The 17,140-nt window shown below is 34.8% G+C and overlaps 1 protein-coding gene across 30 annotated transcripts in view; it reads left to right on the top strand.

The window, feature by feature from the left end:
• The window catches only part of RFX3 (regulatory factor X3), a 307,705-nt gene that overhangs the window by 95,043 nt on the left and 195,522 nt on the right, over nt 1-17,140 (top strand). For 2 of the 30 annotated variants that reach the window (XM_047423696.1, XM_024447632.2), the window contains exon 2: nt 10,089-10,171. The exons of 26 other annotated variants lie outside the window; for them this stretch is intronic. In XM_047423696.1, coding sequence (XP_047279652.1) covers nt 10,162-10,171 — 10 coding nt within the window. In that variant the 5' untranslated portion in view covers nt 10,089-10,161. Of the gene's footprint in view, nt 1-7,212; nt 10,172-17,140 lie in introns of those variants that run through there. 2 more of the 30 variants (XM_047423700.1, XM_047423690.1) reach the window with 1 other exon arrangement.

Genomic DNA, 17,140 nt, shown 5'->3' with positions numbered 1-17,140 from the left:
AAGGTTTGATACATTTTAACTTTTTATAATGGATTTATATATATTTTATGGTAGTAAATGATAAAACAGACTAGTACCTACATATATTTTATGCATCATGACATACCTTCATCTTAATTTTTTGATATTTCTGGGGGACTCATTCTTTATGTGATTTTTTTTTTCAAATTGTTACACATCTCTAAAAAATGTTCCAATATATTTTTTGGAAAAAAATGCACATATAAGTGGACCTGCACAGTTTAAAGCTGTGTTCTTCAAGGGTCAACATTACATTGAAGTCTGATATATAAAACATATTTAAAAATTCAAAAGAATGAATCAGATTTTGTGATGGACACAATTATGGCAAGTGGAGGGCAGACCTAGGAAATTAAAAATATTGGTGTCATTGTGATGAAATAAAAGGATAACAATAGTATACATTTATTTCTCTAAAAAAATTTTACCAAGTGCCTTTGAGGCACAAATGTTCATTTGATGGTAATGGTATTTTGAAGATTGCTAAGACTTATGTTTATATCTCTATCTTATTTCTGAGGAAACTGATACTAAAATTAAAGCAAAAGTGTTTTGCCAGTGAGTACAACAGTAGTAGAGCTGGAACTAACTGGGATCTATGCTTTCTAATTAAGCTGATTAAAATTTACTCAATCAAAGAGATTTAAGGAGATTGATGGTTACAGCCTAGCATGCTATCCATCTTTCATTCCAGGCTTTAACCTAGAACACTCTGCTATTAATTATCCTGAGTATTAGATTTACATGTAAGATTTCTTTTGAAAGTCTTTCAAAACATCATTTTATTCTCTTACATACCCTTTTCTCGTTGAAAATTATATTGGTCACTCTGAATACAAAGAGTATTTCTGTTATGACACTGATGATTTGAATACAGAAATCACTTGCTTGAACAGCTATGACTGATAAGTAACTAAGAAAACTTGGGAACCTCAGTGAACCTGGTAACCTAAGTCAACTAAGGTTTGAGACTTTAAGAGTTGTCAATGGGATTATTATCTTGGCTCTGCAAGTGGGCCGTGGGTTGGAAGCCACTGCTTAGACAGAAACCTGTTACTTTGTGGGCTGCTTCAAAGAGATTGAGGGCTTTGAAATAGGGAGATATCAAGTCCATCTCTCTATTGTTTAAAGCAAATGTAAAGCAGATGTATAGCAGCCGCTAAGATACATCTGCTATATAGTAAATTAAAAGAGGGCATGGAGATGTGTAGCTACCCAGAGTACCACTGAGTCACTATCTTTTAATTATCGGCCTGCCCAAATACTTTGCAAGTGAATGTAGTTCAGGCAAGCCAGAATATAAGACGGAAATGGGTTAGGATGAGATTAGCACCTCCAGGAGCCTAGAGGGAAAAATGCCTTATCTAGTCCAGTGGAAAAATACCTGGGGCTTCACATCCTACAATCAGACAGTGTTCAGGTTTTATGAGAAACTGAGGTTTCTAGAAAATCCGAAAATAGTTGTCAATTTATGTCTATCTCCACAGACACACACAATTATATTATATTATATATATTTGTATATTATATATATAGTATTGGTATATATTAAGATTACATATTAAACATTTTCTTTAACCTAAATTTTTAGTTAATCATAAGAATAACTAAAAATTGGCCGGGCGCGGTGGCTCACGCCTGTAATCCCAGCACTTTGGGAGGCCGAGACGGGCGGATCACGAGGTCAGGAGATCGAGACCATCTTGGCTAACACGGTGAAACCCCGTTTCTACTAAAAATACAAAAAATTAGCCGGACGTGTTGGCGGGCGCCTGTAGTCCCAGCTACTTGGGAGGCTGAGGCAGGAGAATGGCATGAACCCGGGAGGCGGAGCTTGCAGTGAGCCGAGATCGCGCCACCGCACTCCAGCCTGGGAGACACAGCGAGACTCCGTCTCAAAAAAAAAAAAAAAGAGTAACTAAAAATTAAAAAGAAATGTTTTAAAGAAATTAAAACGTTTTTGGGGCCCTAGAGAGTATTAGAGAGTATTATGGGCCCTTGGCACTGTGCCTAATGGGTAATTTAGCCCTGTCTATCTCTAAGCATTTGTTTGAATGAGAATATCTAGTATCTAGAACAATTGAGAAACTCATCCTTGGCAAAAATACGCTTTATTTGTGGAACTATTCATTTCATGTAAATGTTTTAAATTTTTAAAAAACTTTCTTTTATTTACTTTGTCATTTAAATCTGTTGTAGTTTGGGGACAGATAGGTTTCCACAGTCTTTAAATATAGCTAGAAAGACCTTTATATTCTGTTGGTTGTGTGGCAGTGAGATCAGACTAACTTCAAAAATTGGGAAATGAGAATTCAGATCATTTGAGATTTTCTGAATTTTCTATTCTTTTTATTTTGACTTGAATAAAAATAAGCAAAGTAAGGGTTATGAAGGACAGCATGGTAGCAGAGTATTGCTGATATTTTGCTTGTTCATGAAAAAGGAAAAGTATGGGAAGAAAGACTTTATAAAATAAATTTTAAACGTTTTTACTTAACTTCAGAAACTCTACAAAACTTGTGATATTGTGAATACTTTCAAAGTGTTCCATCATCATTATAAGATCTTAAAGTTCTGAGATATTCTATCAAAATTATTTAGCGCTACCTATTCATTCAACTCAAGCTGATAAATTATACAAGTTGGGGATGGGGAGAAAAGAGGAGAAATAGAAATTGAAAGAGTGAGAGAGAATAAGAACAGTTTAAAGTAATGTGTGCAAGAGCTTTTGCTACTTGCCTTGATGTAATGCCTTGATGTAATACCTTGATGCTGGATTGATTCTTCTGCCATAAACAGTGATAAAACTGAACAAAATATATGAGGCAACTTTTCACATGTTGGACAACAGACAGTGCAAGACTGTGATTATTGAGAGAAGGCAGATACATAAAAAGAGCCCCACATTTGCTCTGCATTTCTGCCTAGGGACATTTTCCTGACTATGTAACAAGGACTTGGAGTCCAAGCAGAAACAGTGGCACCTCTGAGCTGAGAAGGCAGAGACCAGAATCTAGGCCTGTTGAAGCAGCTGGAATCTGGAGCGGGGCACCAGAAGGGTGAAGGCTGCACAGAAATGGGGATCCAGAATTCTGAATATGGGTTCCCTTCAAGTCATGGCTGAGTGATGAACTGCACATATGGCAAGTCAAACTGTGGGCTTACCAGAGAGTTCCTGCTATGGATCTGAGAATGAAAAGATATGGTACAGGTTTCTGGTAGATGTTGGAGCTGTGTCCCAAGTTTAATTCTGCCAAAAGAGAGGAGCTTGAGAAACACCTTGGGATTTTCTCAAATTCATCCTAACAAAACATAAACAAATTCAGGGTGTTTAGACAGTAATTATACTGCCTGAGAACAAAGATTACCATTCTTCAGAGGATCATAGCAGAATCCATGTTCTCTGCATTGTATTATTTATATAGTAACAATATATATTTATATATTGTATTATTATATAACAATATATATTTATATATTGTATTATTATATAACAATATATATTTATATATTGTATTATTATATAACAATATATATTTATATATATTGTATTATTATATAATAACAATATATATTTATATATAGTATTATGTAATACAATATATATTTATATATTGTATTATTATGTAATACAATATATATTTATATATAGTATTATATAATAAAATATATATATAGTATTATATATATATTTTATTTATATATTATATTGTATTATATATTTATTATATAGTATAGTATATAATAAGTTACTGCACGTGCAAAAGAAAAAGGAAAAGTATGACCAATAGTCAAAATAAAGTCAATAGCAGTAGACCTTGAGATGGCCTAGTTGTTGAGTTTAGCTGAAAAAGGCTCATGTATGCATACCAATAAAAGGACTTAAACAAACAAATTGTGGTCTTAATGAGTAAACGGGTTAGAAATCTTGGCAGAGAAATGGAAACTACTAGTGTTCTATACCAGTGGTCCCCAACCTTTTTGGCACCAGGGACCGGTTTTATGGAAGACAATTTTAACATGGACTAGGGGGTGGAGGAATGATTCAAATACATTACATTTATTGTGTGCTTTATTTCTATGATTATTACATTGTAATATATAATGAAATAATTATCTACTCATCATAATGTAGAATCAGTGGGAGCCCTGAGTTTGTTTCCCTCCAGCTAGACAGTCCCATCTGGGGGTGACAGGAGACAGTGACAGATCATCAGGCATTAGATTCTCATAAGAAACATGCAACCTAGATCCCTCGCATGGGCAGTTCACAACAGGGTTTGCATTCCTATGAGAATCGAATGCTGCCGCTGCTCTGACAGGAGGCAGAGCTCAGGCAGTAATGTGGGCAATGGGGAGTGGCTGTAAATAGAGATGAAGCTTCACTGGCTCACCTGCTGCTCACCTCCTGCTCACCTCTTGCTCACCTCCTGCTGTGTGGTCTGTTTCCTAACAGTCCATGGACTGGTACCTGGGTGGGTTCCACAGACAGTTGAGGGGTTGGGGACCCTTGTTCTATACCACTGTAGGATGACTATAGTTATCAATTATTTATAGTTTCAGATAGCCAGAAGAAGGGTATTGGATGTTTGTAATACAAAAAAAAAAAAAAGATAGGTATTTGAGATGATGGATATGCTAATTACACTGACCCGATCATCATACATTATATGTATTGAAACATCACTGTGTACCTCATGAATACGTCAGTTAAAAAAATCACTCATTTATAAACATAGATGGAATTATGACTGAATTTTTCAGTTAAATGAGCCAATAAACTGTCTTTTGTGCTTAAAAGTAAAAACAGAAACGTTGTTCATAAACATGGTATAAAAGTTGTAAATAAAATATAAGTAAATCCAATCGTATAGTATATTTAAAAAAGATCATTATTCCAAAATAATTGAATGATGGGTTTTTTTGGTTTGTTTTAATAAATTCTACTGTGTATGAAAAGCTAAGTGAAAATTCAAGAACTGAAAAGAACAATAACTAATTAAAAATTTGTTTTACGATCTCCAACATGCTATTAAGAAATATCATTCAACTTGATGCATATCAGTGAAATTTATTCAATCTGATTAACTTAGAAGAAAATTAAAGAAAAATGAACAGAGATTCAGGGACCTAAGGTACAATACCTCATGGTCTAGTATATGTATAATTGCAATTACAGAGGTGAAGAGCATGAAAATGGGGAATGAAAAGTATTTAAGAAATAATTGTTGAAAATTTTCCATTTTTGATTAAGAATACATTGACTTATACATCCAGTAAGTTCAGTAAACCCCAAGCAGTATGAATATACTATAATGTGCCACATTAAACAGCTGAAATATCTAATCGTTATTTCAGGGGGTTCTATGTGTTCCACATTATTCAGGAAGAAGCAGCTAACTTTGTTTCACATGGGGAACGATATGGTACAGAGAAGATAGGGCTATTTTATACATTTTAAAATGTTGAATCATAAGGTTTTGCTGAATCTGTGGGTCTATTTAAAACTAAAGAACAATGTTTTTCAAATCATAAAAGTAATGCAGGCTCATTGGAGAAAATACATGACCATACAGATATATAAAATTTACCTCTGATCACAAGGCCTTTGACACTTTTATCCTACCACATTTCTAGTTTGTTTGTTTTTGCCACGTAGTAGGGAATCATTAAACAAAAACAAATTTTCTTTTCTTTTCTGAGACACGGTCTCATTGTGTTGCCAGGCTGGCGGGCAGTGGTGTGTGATCATGGCTCACTCAACCTCTGCCTCCTGGACTTAACGCATCTTCCCACTTTAGCCTCCCAAGTAGCTGGGACCACAGATGTGGGCCACCATGCCTGGCTAAGTTTTAAAATTTTTAGATTTTTTGTAGAGACAGGGTTTTGCCTGTTGCCCAGGCTGGTCTTGAACTCCTGAGCTCAAGTGATCTACCTGCCTTGCTCTCCCAAAGTGCTGGGATTACAGGTATGAACCACTGTGCCTGGCCAACAAAAAATCATTTCTTATTAAGGCATCCTACTCTCTAAAACAAGCCCTAAACTCTCATCGCCACTTGAAGTTTTTATCTTGAGACTAGTATTATTCTTTTTGTGAGAAAATCTCAGGATGTGAATTCGATCTATATGTATTATATATGTATAATTTTAGAGATATACCAATTATAGATGAAAAATTATGGAATTGCAGAGCATGAAAATAGCTTGTATTTGCCATTTCTGTATTATAAAAACTGAATACATAGTTTCTTTTTTAATTATTAAGACAGTCAATTATGGGCCGGGCGCGGTGGCTCACGCCTGTAATCCCAGCACTTTGGGAGGCCGAGGCGGGCGGAGCACGAGGTCAGGAGATCGAGACCATCCCGGCTAACACGGTGAAGCCCCGTCTCTACTAAAAATACAAAAATTATCCGGGCGCGGTGGCGGGCGCCTGTAGTCCCAGCTACTCGGGAGGCTGAGGCAGGAGAATGGCGTGAACCCGGGAGGCGGAGCTTGCAGTGAGTCGAGATCGCGCCACTGCACTCCAGCCTGGGCGACAGAGCGAGACTCCGTCTCAAAAAAAAAAAAAAAAAAAAAAAAAAAAAAAGTCAATTATGTAATTACAGTGACTCTACTGTTGCTATTCCCAAATGTGGGAAGATGATGCCCTACTGAACATTTTTCACAGACATCTCTGGGTATTTAAATTTTTTTCTCATTGAGGTGATATTTGGACAAAATGAAATTGAAGTGATTTTGTACCTGAAGTTCACCAGGGACAGCCTCCTAGTTCTTCTTCTTTTTTTTTTGAGAAGGAGTCTCCCTCTGTCGCCCAGGCTGGAGTGTAGTGGCGCGATCTCAGCTCACTGCAAGCTCCACCTCCCGGGTTCACGTCATTCTCCTGCCTCAGCCTCCCGAGTAGCTGGGACTACAGGCACCTGCCACCACGCCCGGCTAATTTTTTGTATTTTTAGTACAGACGGGGTTTCACCATGTTAGCCGGGATGGTCTCGATCTCCTGACCTTGTGGTCCCCCCGCCTCGGCCTCCCAGAGTGCTGGGATTACAGGCGTGAGCCACCGCGCCTGGCCTTCTTGTTTTAAATATATTCTAAGATTTTGTTCTTTTTAAAAATTACCTTAAGATATATATATATATATATATATATATATATATATGAAAATATATAATACATAAAATGAAATATACCCTTTTAAAAAATGTTGAGTTGAGTTTTTAAAATTTATATCTATGTAACCACCACCATAATCAAGTTGTAGAACATTTTTATACTTCCCGAAGCTCCCTTGTACCCATCCCCAGCCCCAGGCAAACACTGATCTGCTGATCTACTTTCTGTCTCTCTAGATGAGATTTCTGTTTTCTAGAATTTCACATAAATGGATTAATAAAGCATTATGTACTCTTGTGTCTGGTTTCTTTTGCTCAGCCCAATGTTGAGACTCACTCATGTGCTATGTGTATGAATAGCATATGAATAGTTCTTTTTATTCCAGAGTAGTATTTCATTTTAGGAGTATACTACAGTTTGTCCATTCACCTCTTGATGTATATTTGGTTTTCAGTTTTAGCTATTATGAACAAAGTTTCTATGAATCTTTGTAAGTCTTTGTTTAGACAAATGTCTTCATTTTTGTTAGATCAATACTTAGGAGTGGAATATTGGGTCATATGGTTACTATATGTTTGACTTCAGAAGCACCTTTCAAAGTGCTTCCTGAAGTGGTTGTACCGTTTGAAAACATTCCTTCCTTCACAGAGAGCTCCAGTTGCTCTGTATCTACTCATTGTTTTAAAGTTGAATAGAATTCTCAGCATATGTTTGGATAGTGTTAAATTGATATTAAGGAAGAAGCCTGTAGTCATCAGGAATCTGCATTTAGTCGGACTAAACAGTAGGATAGTTCTACAATAAGGAAATAACTTATTTTTTGTCTTTTATCTTCCCAAGGTTGTCAGTTTTCACATAGATCTTTATTTTCTTGACAAAAGTACTATTTTTATAGAGGTTTTTAATTATTTTTTTAAATATAGCTCCATTGTCACAGTCCAGATAGGCAATCCTACTGTAATTATATAGAAATTACATTTCTGAAATACATTTCTCCTTCTGAATCCATTTATTTTTATAAAACCTCCTGAACCCCAGTGTCTTATATATAGCAGATATCTTACATAGTACAGGTGTTCAGTCAGTGCACATTTTTTGAATACCATATTTTCTCTTGATTATATATATTATTTACCATTCAAGCTAGTAGCTAAATTGGACAAAACTGTAAAATAATAAGCCTGACTTATTTTGGAGTCTTCTTAACTGGCATATTGAATGATTCAAGTTGTTGAATTTGATCTGTAAATCACTTAAAAGATCTTTGATTCCCAGTAGCATCAAAGGTAGAAAAGAGTTGCTTCTAATAAGGCAGAAGGGTTTCTCCTTTGCTTTGTCTAACAATTCAAAATAATCTTGTAAGGTTGGGCAGATCTACCCCATGCCAGGGTGGAATAGCCACAGTGTTTCTGTGTTTGACTTTAGGTCATCTCTTCTCTTTTAAAATACACACACATGTGAACTTCCACCATTACCACCACCATTACCAACAACAGCAACACAAAGCCCAAGTTTGTTTCAGGGTCAGTTTGGGAATGTAGAACATAGCCATTGTTGACTCTGGAGTCAGCCCTGCTGGGCTGAAACAAGACTAGTTTTCATTTTGGGTGAGTGGGATAATGTTCATTGCTATTTGTGCCAGGAAGATTTAGCTGAAGAGTTTTCACGTGAGGTAAATCCCATGGGTTCAGTTTTGTTCTCCAGCCTCTTGTCATACTAGTAATTTTTAGGGCTGCTCCTGCCTTCCCTTAGGTACCTTTTCTACTCTGAAGAACAAATCAGGTCTCCTTATCCAAATGCCTCCTTAGATTTTTTTTTTTTTTAGAAGAGTCACTTACAACACTATCATGATCCCCAGGAAAATATAGAAGAGCACAGTCTCTGGCTTCAGAGTTCCTATCAATTCCTGTCAGCAGAACTGTATATCCTGTTGTTGGAATGAAATTGCCTGCTAGAGTAATTTTGTGATAGGCTCTCTTAGGTGCCATTGCATTAGGAATAGAAGACCAGAGGGGCAGAGAGAAAGAAAATATATTAGAGGTGATGTGAGTGGAAGCCAGCATTCGTCTATGAGGGCTTACTTTCCATATGTGATCTGTGTCACACAGCAACTCTACCTACAAAGACAATAAACGAGCTCCATGCTTTGATTTGTCCATCTGTAAACAGAGTAATACTACCTGTGTCATCAGGTTAATGGGATAACCAAATGAATTCATATAGGTCAAGGACTTGCAATGCTGAGAGTTTTCATCTTCTGCTATTCTGTACAACAATAAGGACTAGATAGAGTATTTGCTTTAAAAATGCACGCACCTTCTGTCATATATTTTTACAAAATAGACTAGAAGATGTTAACCAGGGTTATTTCTATGGAGTTGGATGTTTGGTAATTTAAATGTTCCTTTTTTCTTTAATAAAGTTTATTTTACTGTAAATTTTAGATGAAAGGAGGATATTCAGCTCTTTACAAGTAATGCTGCCTAACAGTTGCATTTAATCAATAGGGGTTTCTTCTCCATTGCTTTTGTTAGCTTTCTCCACTTGGTTTTGACCGGCTCCTCAAGACTTTGTAAGCTTTGAGTTCAGAACGTACTGTAAACCTTTAACAAGATGATCTGAGTAGTTCTTTAGAGGTTCATTAATATCTTATTTTGCTGTTGATTGTGGCTTAGATAGTTATTCTCAGTGTTTGTTCTGGCTCAGTCACTGAATGTGGCCATCCTGCAGGGGACAAGTCACTCCAGAGCCTCAGGAGATACTGTATTGATTATTTGTTGCCTTCTTGTTTTTTTTTTTTTTTTTGGCACATAGTAGAAATATTTATCTCTGAGAGTCCACAGATTTCATTACTCCTTAGGCTAGTTTCTGTTGTAGCCACAGAACTTTACAGATGAGAAAGATCCATATTTGCTGGTTTCAGATTTGACCCAAGGATATCTTTGGTTGTGCAGATCAGGATCTAAGGGATTTAAATGGACAGAATGCTTTCTGACATCTTGGATCATCTGAAGAAAAGAACCAGGAATGAATGGAGGTAAGGAAGTAAAGGAAAGAACAGTAGTGATGAATGAAGGCAGTTATGGAAGGATACAGGGGTTTATAGAAATAATTCCTGACTTTGCTGTGGAACCTGCCTCTTAAAATTTACTCCTCTTCTTTTATCTATGTGGGATACGGTGATGCAGCTGAAAGACTCTAAAATCTACAGTTAGTTTGGGGGAAGATAGAAGTCAAGTTACTGCTTACTTAAAATGACCTTAGACAAGTCTCTTAACCTTTTTCAGTTTCTTCATGTGCAAAATACAGTTATTAATAAAAAATATCTATACTACCTCTTAAAAGGGCTGTTGTGGGGTTCAAATAAAATAATGTATGTAAAAATATTTTGTAAATAGTAAAGCTGTAGCTAAGTATTTGATGGTGATATTTATGACTGCAATTGGTCTTCACAACTACTGTAGCTTTCTTATGTTGCTCTGGGCTTCTGTGTTCACATTTCAGCTGTCCTCTGTGTAGGGGCATTTGGTTTCATGAACCGTAGAATGTCCTGTTAGTACTCAGCCTGTGTATGAGTGCTTTCCTGGCCTTGATCATTCTCCCAAGTGGTGAAAGCTGCTGACTGGTGTGCTTCAGTGCAAAAATCTGGAAGAAGGCAGCACACATGGTGAGAGCTTTAATGTACGCTGGCTCACTGAAGGATGGTCGGAGGCTGGGAGGCAGTTCTGAGGAACAAGTGGTGCTGCGGGCCCCGACGTTCTTTCTGCCACATTTAGCTAGTCTCCCTCCTGTGCCTTCACGTGCGACGATGACAAACTGCCTTACAATTTTGAGTGCGGTAGGAGGAGGAGAAAAAGCTGATTGATTTCTCACATGCAGAGGTTGTGTTGGAATTTTACGGTTTGCCTTCCATGTGAGCCAGTTCTGCATCTGCAGATTCAACCAATTATGGATTGAAAATATTTGAGTGTGAAAAACAATAAAAAATTATTAAACATTCTACATATAACAAAGTTTCATATGTACCCCATGCATATGTACAAATATAATTAATAAAAAATGAAAAATACAGTGTAACAACTATTTACATAGAATTTACAGAATTTTATATGAGGGACTAGAGCATCCATGGATCTTTGTATCCTCAGGGGATCCTGGAAGCAATACCCTGCAGATACCAACGGAGAACTGCAGGTTGTTAAAGGTACAGTAAATTTAATCATGCACTTAGTTCTCAGAAGAGTACAGCAGGATAAGTTGATACTTTACAGACTTATTTGGTATTTTATTACCATATTGATTCAGGTTCATGCTCATTTGGCCCAGGTAAGAAGGGTTTGCCTCAGTGTCAAAAAGACAGAGCATGGATTACAAATAGCAGTTTTTATTAAAATATGGTATTTTTAAGATACTTAGTAAAAAATATACTTGTTTTATCTTATTCTGTCAAACATATAAGAGACCCATGAGATTATTTTAATTAAAGAAAAAATAAAAACTTGTCCTTTTGATACTTGGAAGATATTATAAAGTATAATTATATCAATTTGGTATTCTTTACAATTTGATAGTACAGCATCTATTTTTGTGCTTTTGGTAATGTATGCAGTGTTGAAAGCATCGAAGTTGCGCAAAATAAAAAAAATGTGAACTGTGTTCCACATATATGTTGTTGTTTTTTTAAACCAAATGGAAATTGTTCCAGTGCTATACTGCTGAATGTTACCCTTTAGCCATTTAAAACAAATTCATAAATACATGTTTTATCCTTCAAAATTAAAATTAAGATATTCAAATCTATAAATTCTGGTTGAATGGAGCATATAATAAGAAATAGGTGAAGGCAGCAGGACAACATTAATACGTAACTTTTCTATCATCTCATGTGATATTATTAAATGTATTGGTTAATCCAAAAACACTCCATGTAATACATAAGTTTCCACTGGATCATGTCTCTTGCTTTGAAAAGAGATTGCCCCAGCTTTGTTTTAACATTGGCATTCAAATAACTTGAATAATTTGTCTTTTTAAAAATATGAATTCTAAGCAACTTATTTTTCTATGATGATATCCTATTTTAATTGATGTTACCTAATTTAAAACGTTTAAATTAGTGATTTGATTAATAAGCTTCAAGTATTTGGCCGGGCACAGAGGCTCACACCTGTAATCCCAGCACTTTGGGAGGCCAAGGCAGACGGATCGCCTGAAGTCAGGAGTTCGAGACCAGCCTGGCCAACTTGGTGAAACCCCGTCTCTACTAAAAACGCAAAAATTAGCTGGGCATGGTGGTGGGTGCCTGTAATCCTAGCTACTTGGGAGGCTGAGGTAGGAGAATTGCTTGAACCCAGGAGCTGGAGGTTGCAGTGATCTGAGATGGTGCCACTGTACTCCAGCCTGGGTGACAGAGCAAGACTCCATCTCCAAAAAAAAACAAAAACAAAAAAGCTTCAAGTATTTATAAATCAATGCTATGTAATAATGTTTACCATTTATTGAGCTCTTACCATGCATCAGGCACTGTTGTAAGCCCACAGAAAGCAGTAACTTGTTGAATCTTTATAATCACTCTAAGGCGGTAAGAACTATTTATACCATTTTATAGTCTATTCTTATTTTACAGTTGAGAAACTAAGGCATTGCTACTTAAGTAACTTGCCCAATATCATGGCTACTCAACTGTGGTAAAGCTAGATTATGAATTTAAGCAATGTGGATAGAGAATTCAGCACTCCTATTCATTGTGCTATGTGAAATATAGAAAATTTACAAATAAAGCACAGAATGCTCACATTAATCAGATAAAGGCCAACAAATATGCATATCTATTTTGTAGAATCTATATCTGCTTTTATTAGGTGAAAATAGGCATTTAAAGAACTCAGATATTTATATAGTGTCACTACTGGCCAAGACTGCTCATTTAAAAACACTTGCTATTATAAACCTTATTAAGCAAATCATATGTTCTTCCCGGAACTGTTTTTTATGTGAATTTTGTGAGTTTACAAATTTTAGAAGGATTTCTAGAATTCTTCCTGTTCTAGTATTTTATGAATTTATGATCCCCTTTCCTTTAATCCTAATTCTGAAATTGTTCACTTGTAAAACTGTTGATTTGTTTAGTCATTTAATTCTTTTTCTTTTGTTCTTCACCCAAATTTATTGAGGGGGTTCTGCATCTCACAGATGATAGTATGTGTTCATTTTCTTCAGTTCAAAATACTTCTGTTTTAATTCTTTGACCCATGGGTTAGTTAGAAATGTATTATTCAGTTTCCAAATATTTGATTTGCTTTTTATTTTTGTTACTGATTTTTAACTTAATTCTTTTGTGATCATACAAATTACTTTGTAAGATTTGAGTCCTTTAAAATTCATTGAGATTTGTTTGTGATCAGGTATGGTCTGTCTTCTTAAATGTTTTGTGTGTACTTGAGAAGGGTATATATTCTGTTTTTGGGTAGAATGTTCTATAAATGTCAGTTTGCACAAATTGATAGATGCTGTTCAAATTTTTTTATATCTTTACTACTTGTTATATCATTAAAAGGGGTATAAAATATCCATCAATAATACTGCATTTTATTATTTCTTTTTCAGATCAACTAGGTTTCGTTTTATGTATATTGGAGTTCTGACAATAGGTACATAAACATTTAGGATTGTTATATTCTCTTGATGAATAGGCAGGCTCCTTTATCATTATGAAATGACTCCTCTTATTCCTGGTAATATTTCTTGCTTTGAAATTTCCTTTGATATTAATATAGCATTATATATATTTTATATCATTTTAATTTTAATCTATCTGTGTCATATTTAAAGTGCATTTCTTGTAGAAAGCATTTTGTTTGTCTTTGTTTTTTATAAGGTTTGACAATCTCTGTCTCTTCATTGGTGTGTTTAAATTTTATTTAATGTGATTATTAATACGGTTGGATTTAAATCTACTGTGTTGCCATTTATTTTTTGTTTCTTCTGTCTATTCTTTGGTTCCTTTTTCCTGTTTTCTTGCCTTGTCTTGGATTAATTGAATAATTTTTATGATTCCATTTTATGTTGTTAATTGACTTATTGCTCTACTTCTTTATGTTTTACTCTTTCAGTGGTTACTAAATGGTTTAACGTATGCTGCTTCAACTTATCACAGTGTACCTTCAAATAATGTGCCACTTCATGTATAGGGTAAGAAAAGCCAGTGATTCTCAACAGCACCAGGGACAATGGGATAGAGGACCATACTGGAATCATATTGGGTGTACATATGGGAACTTTGAGAATTTCTCACTTCAGATGCCCTTCTATTGGCTTTTTTTCCCCCTAATAAGAATACTGATAACATCCTTTCTTTTTCTGGATGAGAACACTGAGGATCAGTTTAAAGTGGCTTTAGTAAATGGCAGAAACAGGCCCAACATAGCATAATGTAATGAATACCCGTCTTTAGGTCAGTTACACCTGGATTTGAACTCTAGTAATCTTGTTTGCTAGATATGTGATCTTGGACAAGTTATTTAACCAGTATAATGTTCATGCTAAAATATGGAGAATAATCACCTTACAGGGCTGTTGTCCCATGTGCTCATACAACACTTTATTTCTATCTTGATTGTCAAAATTAACTGGGATAGTATTTATAAAGCACCTAGTTAAATTGCTTGGCAGGACTTCAAATATACTTGTCATGTAAAGATTCTGGAAGTAATTGGCTGACTCCCAAGTAAGTGCTCTTATTTTACTTACACAGTAAATTATCTCTGCAGACTTTAATCAGTCATTTACACCTTGAAACATGTTGTGCACATGTTAGAGAAGCAATGATTAATATAACTGAAGTTACTATGAGCAGGTATGATAATTAAACCAAATAGGTTCAGAGTTTGAAGAGATCTAGGTAGTGAATAAAACTTCAGGAAGGCTAGTGGCTGGGACATTCAGGAACATTGCCGCCACCTTCTAGGAATTGATAGAGAGATTGAGGGGTCAGCACTGATGTGGTGTGAGAGGGAATATAATCTTGGGTCTCATTGTGTTGCAAAGAGGCAGTTCATATTATAGAATTAGAATTTAGGTAAATGAGAAGGATTTGGAGCAAGAGACTAGAAAGTCATGATATACAAGTGAAAGTTGAAGTTGCAAAATATTTCAGGGAGACTGTGTACAGAGAAGAACAGAGAAGGCAAAGGGTGTATCTTAGGGGATTAGTCCTTGTTGAGGAGAGAAGAAAGAAGAGATAGCCAAGGAAGTTAATGCTTTCCTCTTCTTGGGATCTTTCCCAGCATCTAACAGCAGCAACCTGCCTTCAGTAATGGAATACTTTATTGAATTTATAGTGGATGTGGGTCTTGTTAGTTTTATTCTTAAATAGATCTGGAACTATTATTGTGTATATTAAAAATGCTAATCATTGGCCAGGTGTGGTGGAAAATGGTACTGGTTGGCTAGCCAGGGTGGCTCACGCCTCTAATCTCTGCACTTTGGGAGACTGAGGCAAGAGGATTGCTTGAGCCCAAGAGTTAGAGGCTGCAGTGAATCATGATTGCACCACTGCACCCTAGCCTGGGCAACAGAGCAAGATCCCAACTCTTATATATATATATATGAGTATGTATATATATATATATATGAGTATGTGTATATATATATAAGTATATATATATAAGAATATATATAGTATATAGATAAGAGTATATATATAAGTATATATATATACTTATATATGAGTATATATATAAGAATATATATATACTTATATATGAGTATATATATAAGTATATATATAAAAGTAAATATATAAGTATATATATGAGTATATATAAGTATATATATGAGTATATATAAGTGTATATATGAATATATACACACACATATATGTGTATATATATACACACATATGAGTATATATGTGTGTATATATACTCATATATATACTTATATATACTCATATATATACATATATACTCATATATACTTATATATACTCATATATACATATATACTCATATATACATATATACTCATATATACTCATATATACATATATACTCATATATACATATATACTCATATATACTCATATATACATATATACTCATATATACATATATACTCATATATACTCATATATACATATATACTCATATATACATATATACTCATATATACATATATATACTCATATATATATACACTCGTATATTGCAGTAGATACTACTAGCATATATATATATACCACATTGCAGTAGATACCACTAGCATATATATATACACACTCATATATATACACACACACACATATATATATACTCTTATATATGTATATACACATATATATATGTTAGTGGTATTTACTGCAGTGTGCCCTTTTGGTAGGACAGCAAATATGTCTTTGGATCTTTCAACTAGTATGAATAATGAAAGCTAACTCTATTGTGTTTTTAATTTCTCACTGATTTTGCAAGATAATGACTTTACTCTTAAGATTGACATTCTCATAACTGTTGAATATTTCAAATATGGAACACAAATTTTGTTTCTTTTAACTTGGAAATACAGAAAACATTAAAAGTATTGTAAGCAGACTGGAATATGGCAGGAGCATAGCCTTTACAGTCAGATGTAGTTCCATGTGTGTCCTAGTTTTGTCTTTTGCCAATGTTGAGCTCTTAGGAAAAGTATTTGATCTTTCTGGAACTCAGTGTCCCATTTCAATAAAGTACTCAACCAACACACACATAATTTTCACACAAGGTTGTTGTGAAAATTAAAGTATTAAGTTTATTAGCAGATATGTGGTAGGTGTTCAATAAATAGCAGCTTTTAAAATTTTTAATTGGATGTAACAGAGGAGGTAAAGATGAAAGAAGACAATCTTGATTTATTGGGAGAATTTCTAAGTACCAAACACTAGCCTTACCATTCTTCATGTTATCTAGGTGGAGAGTATAATTTTTTTCTTTTCCTGATTTATTACTTAGTATTCATCCTCCCACACTGGGAT

Source organism: Homo sapiens, chromosome 9 (genome assembly GCF_000001405.40).
Source record: "Homo sapiens chromosome 9, GRCh38.p14 Primary Assembly".
Taxonomy (NCBI): Eukaryota; Metazoa; Chordata; class Mammalia; order Primates; family Hominidae; genus Homo; species Homo sapiens.
Note: the sequence above shows the minus strand (reverse complement) of the source record. Positions and strands in the feature narration are given on the sequence as shown.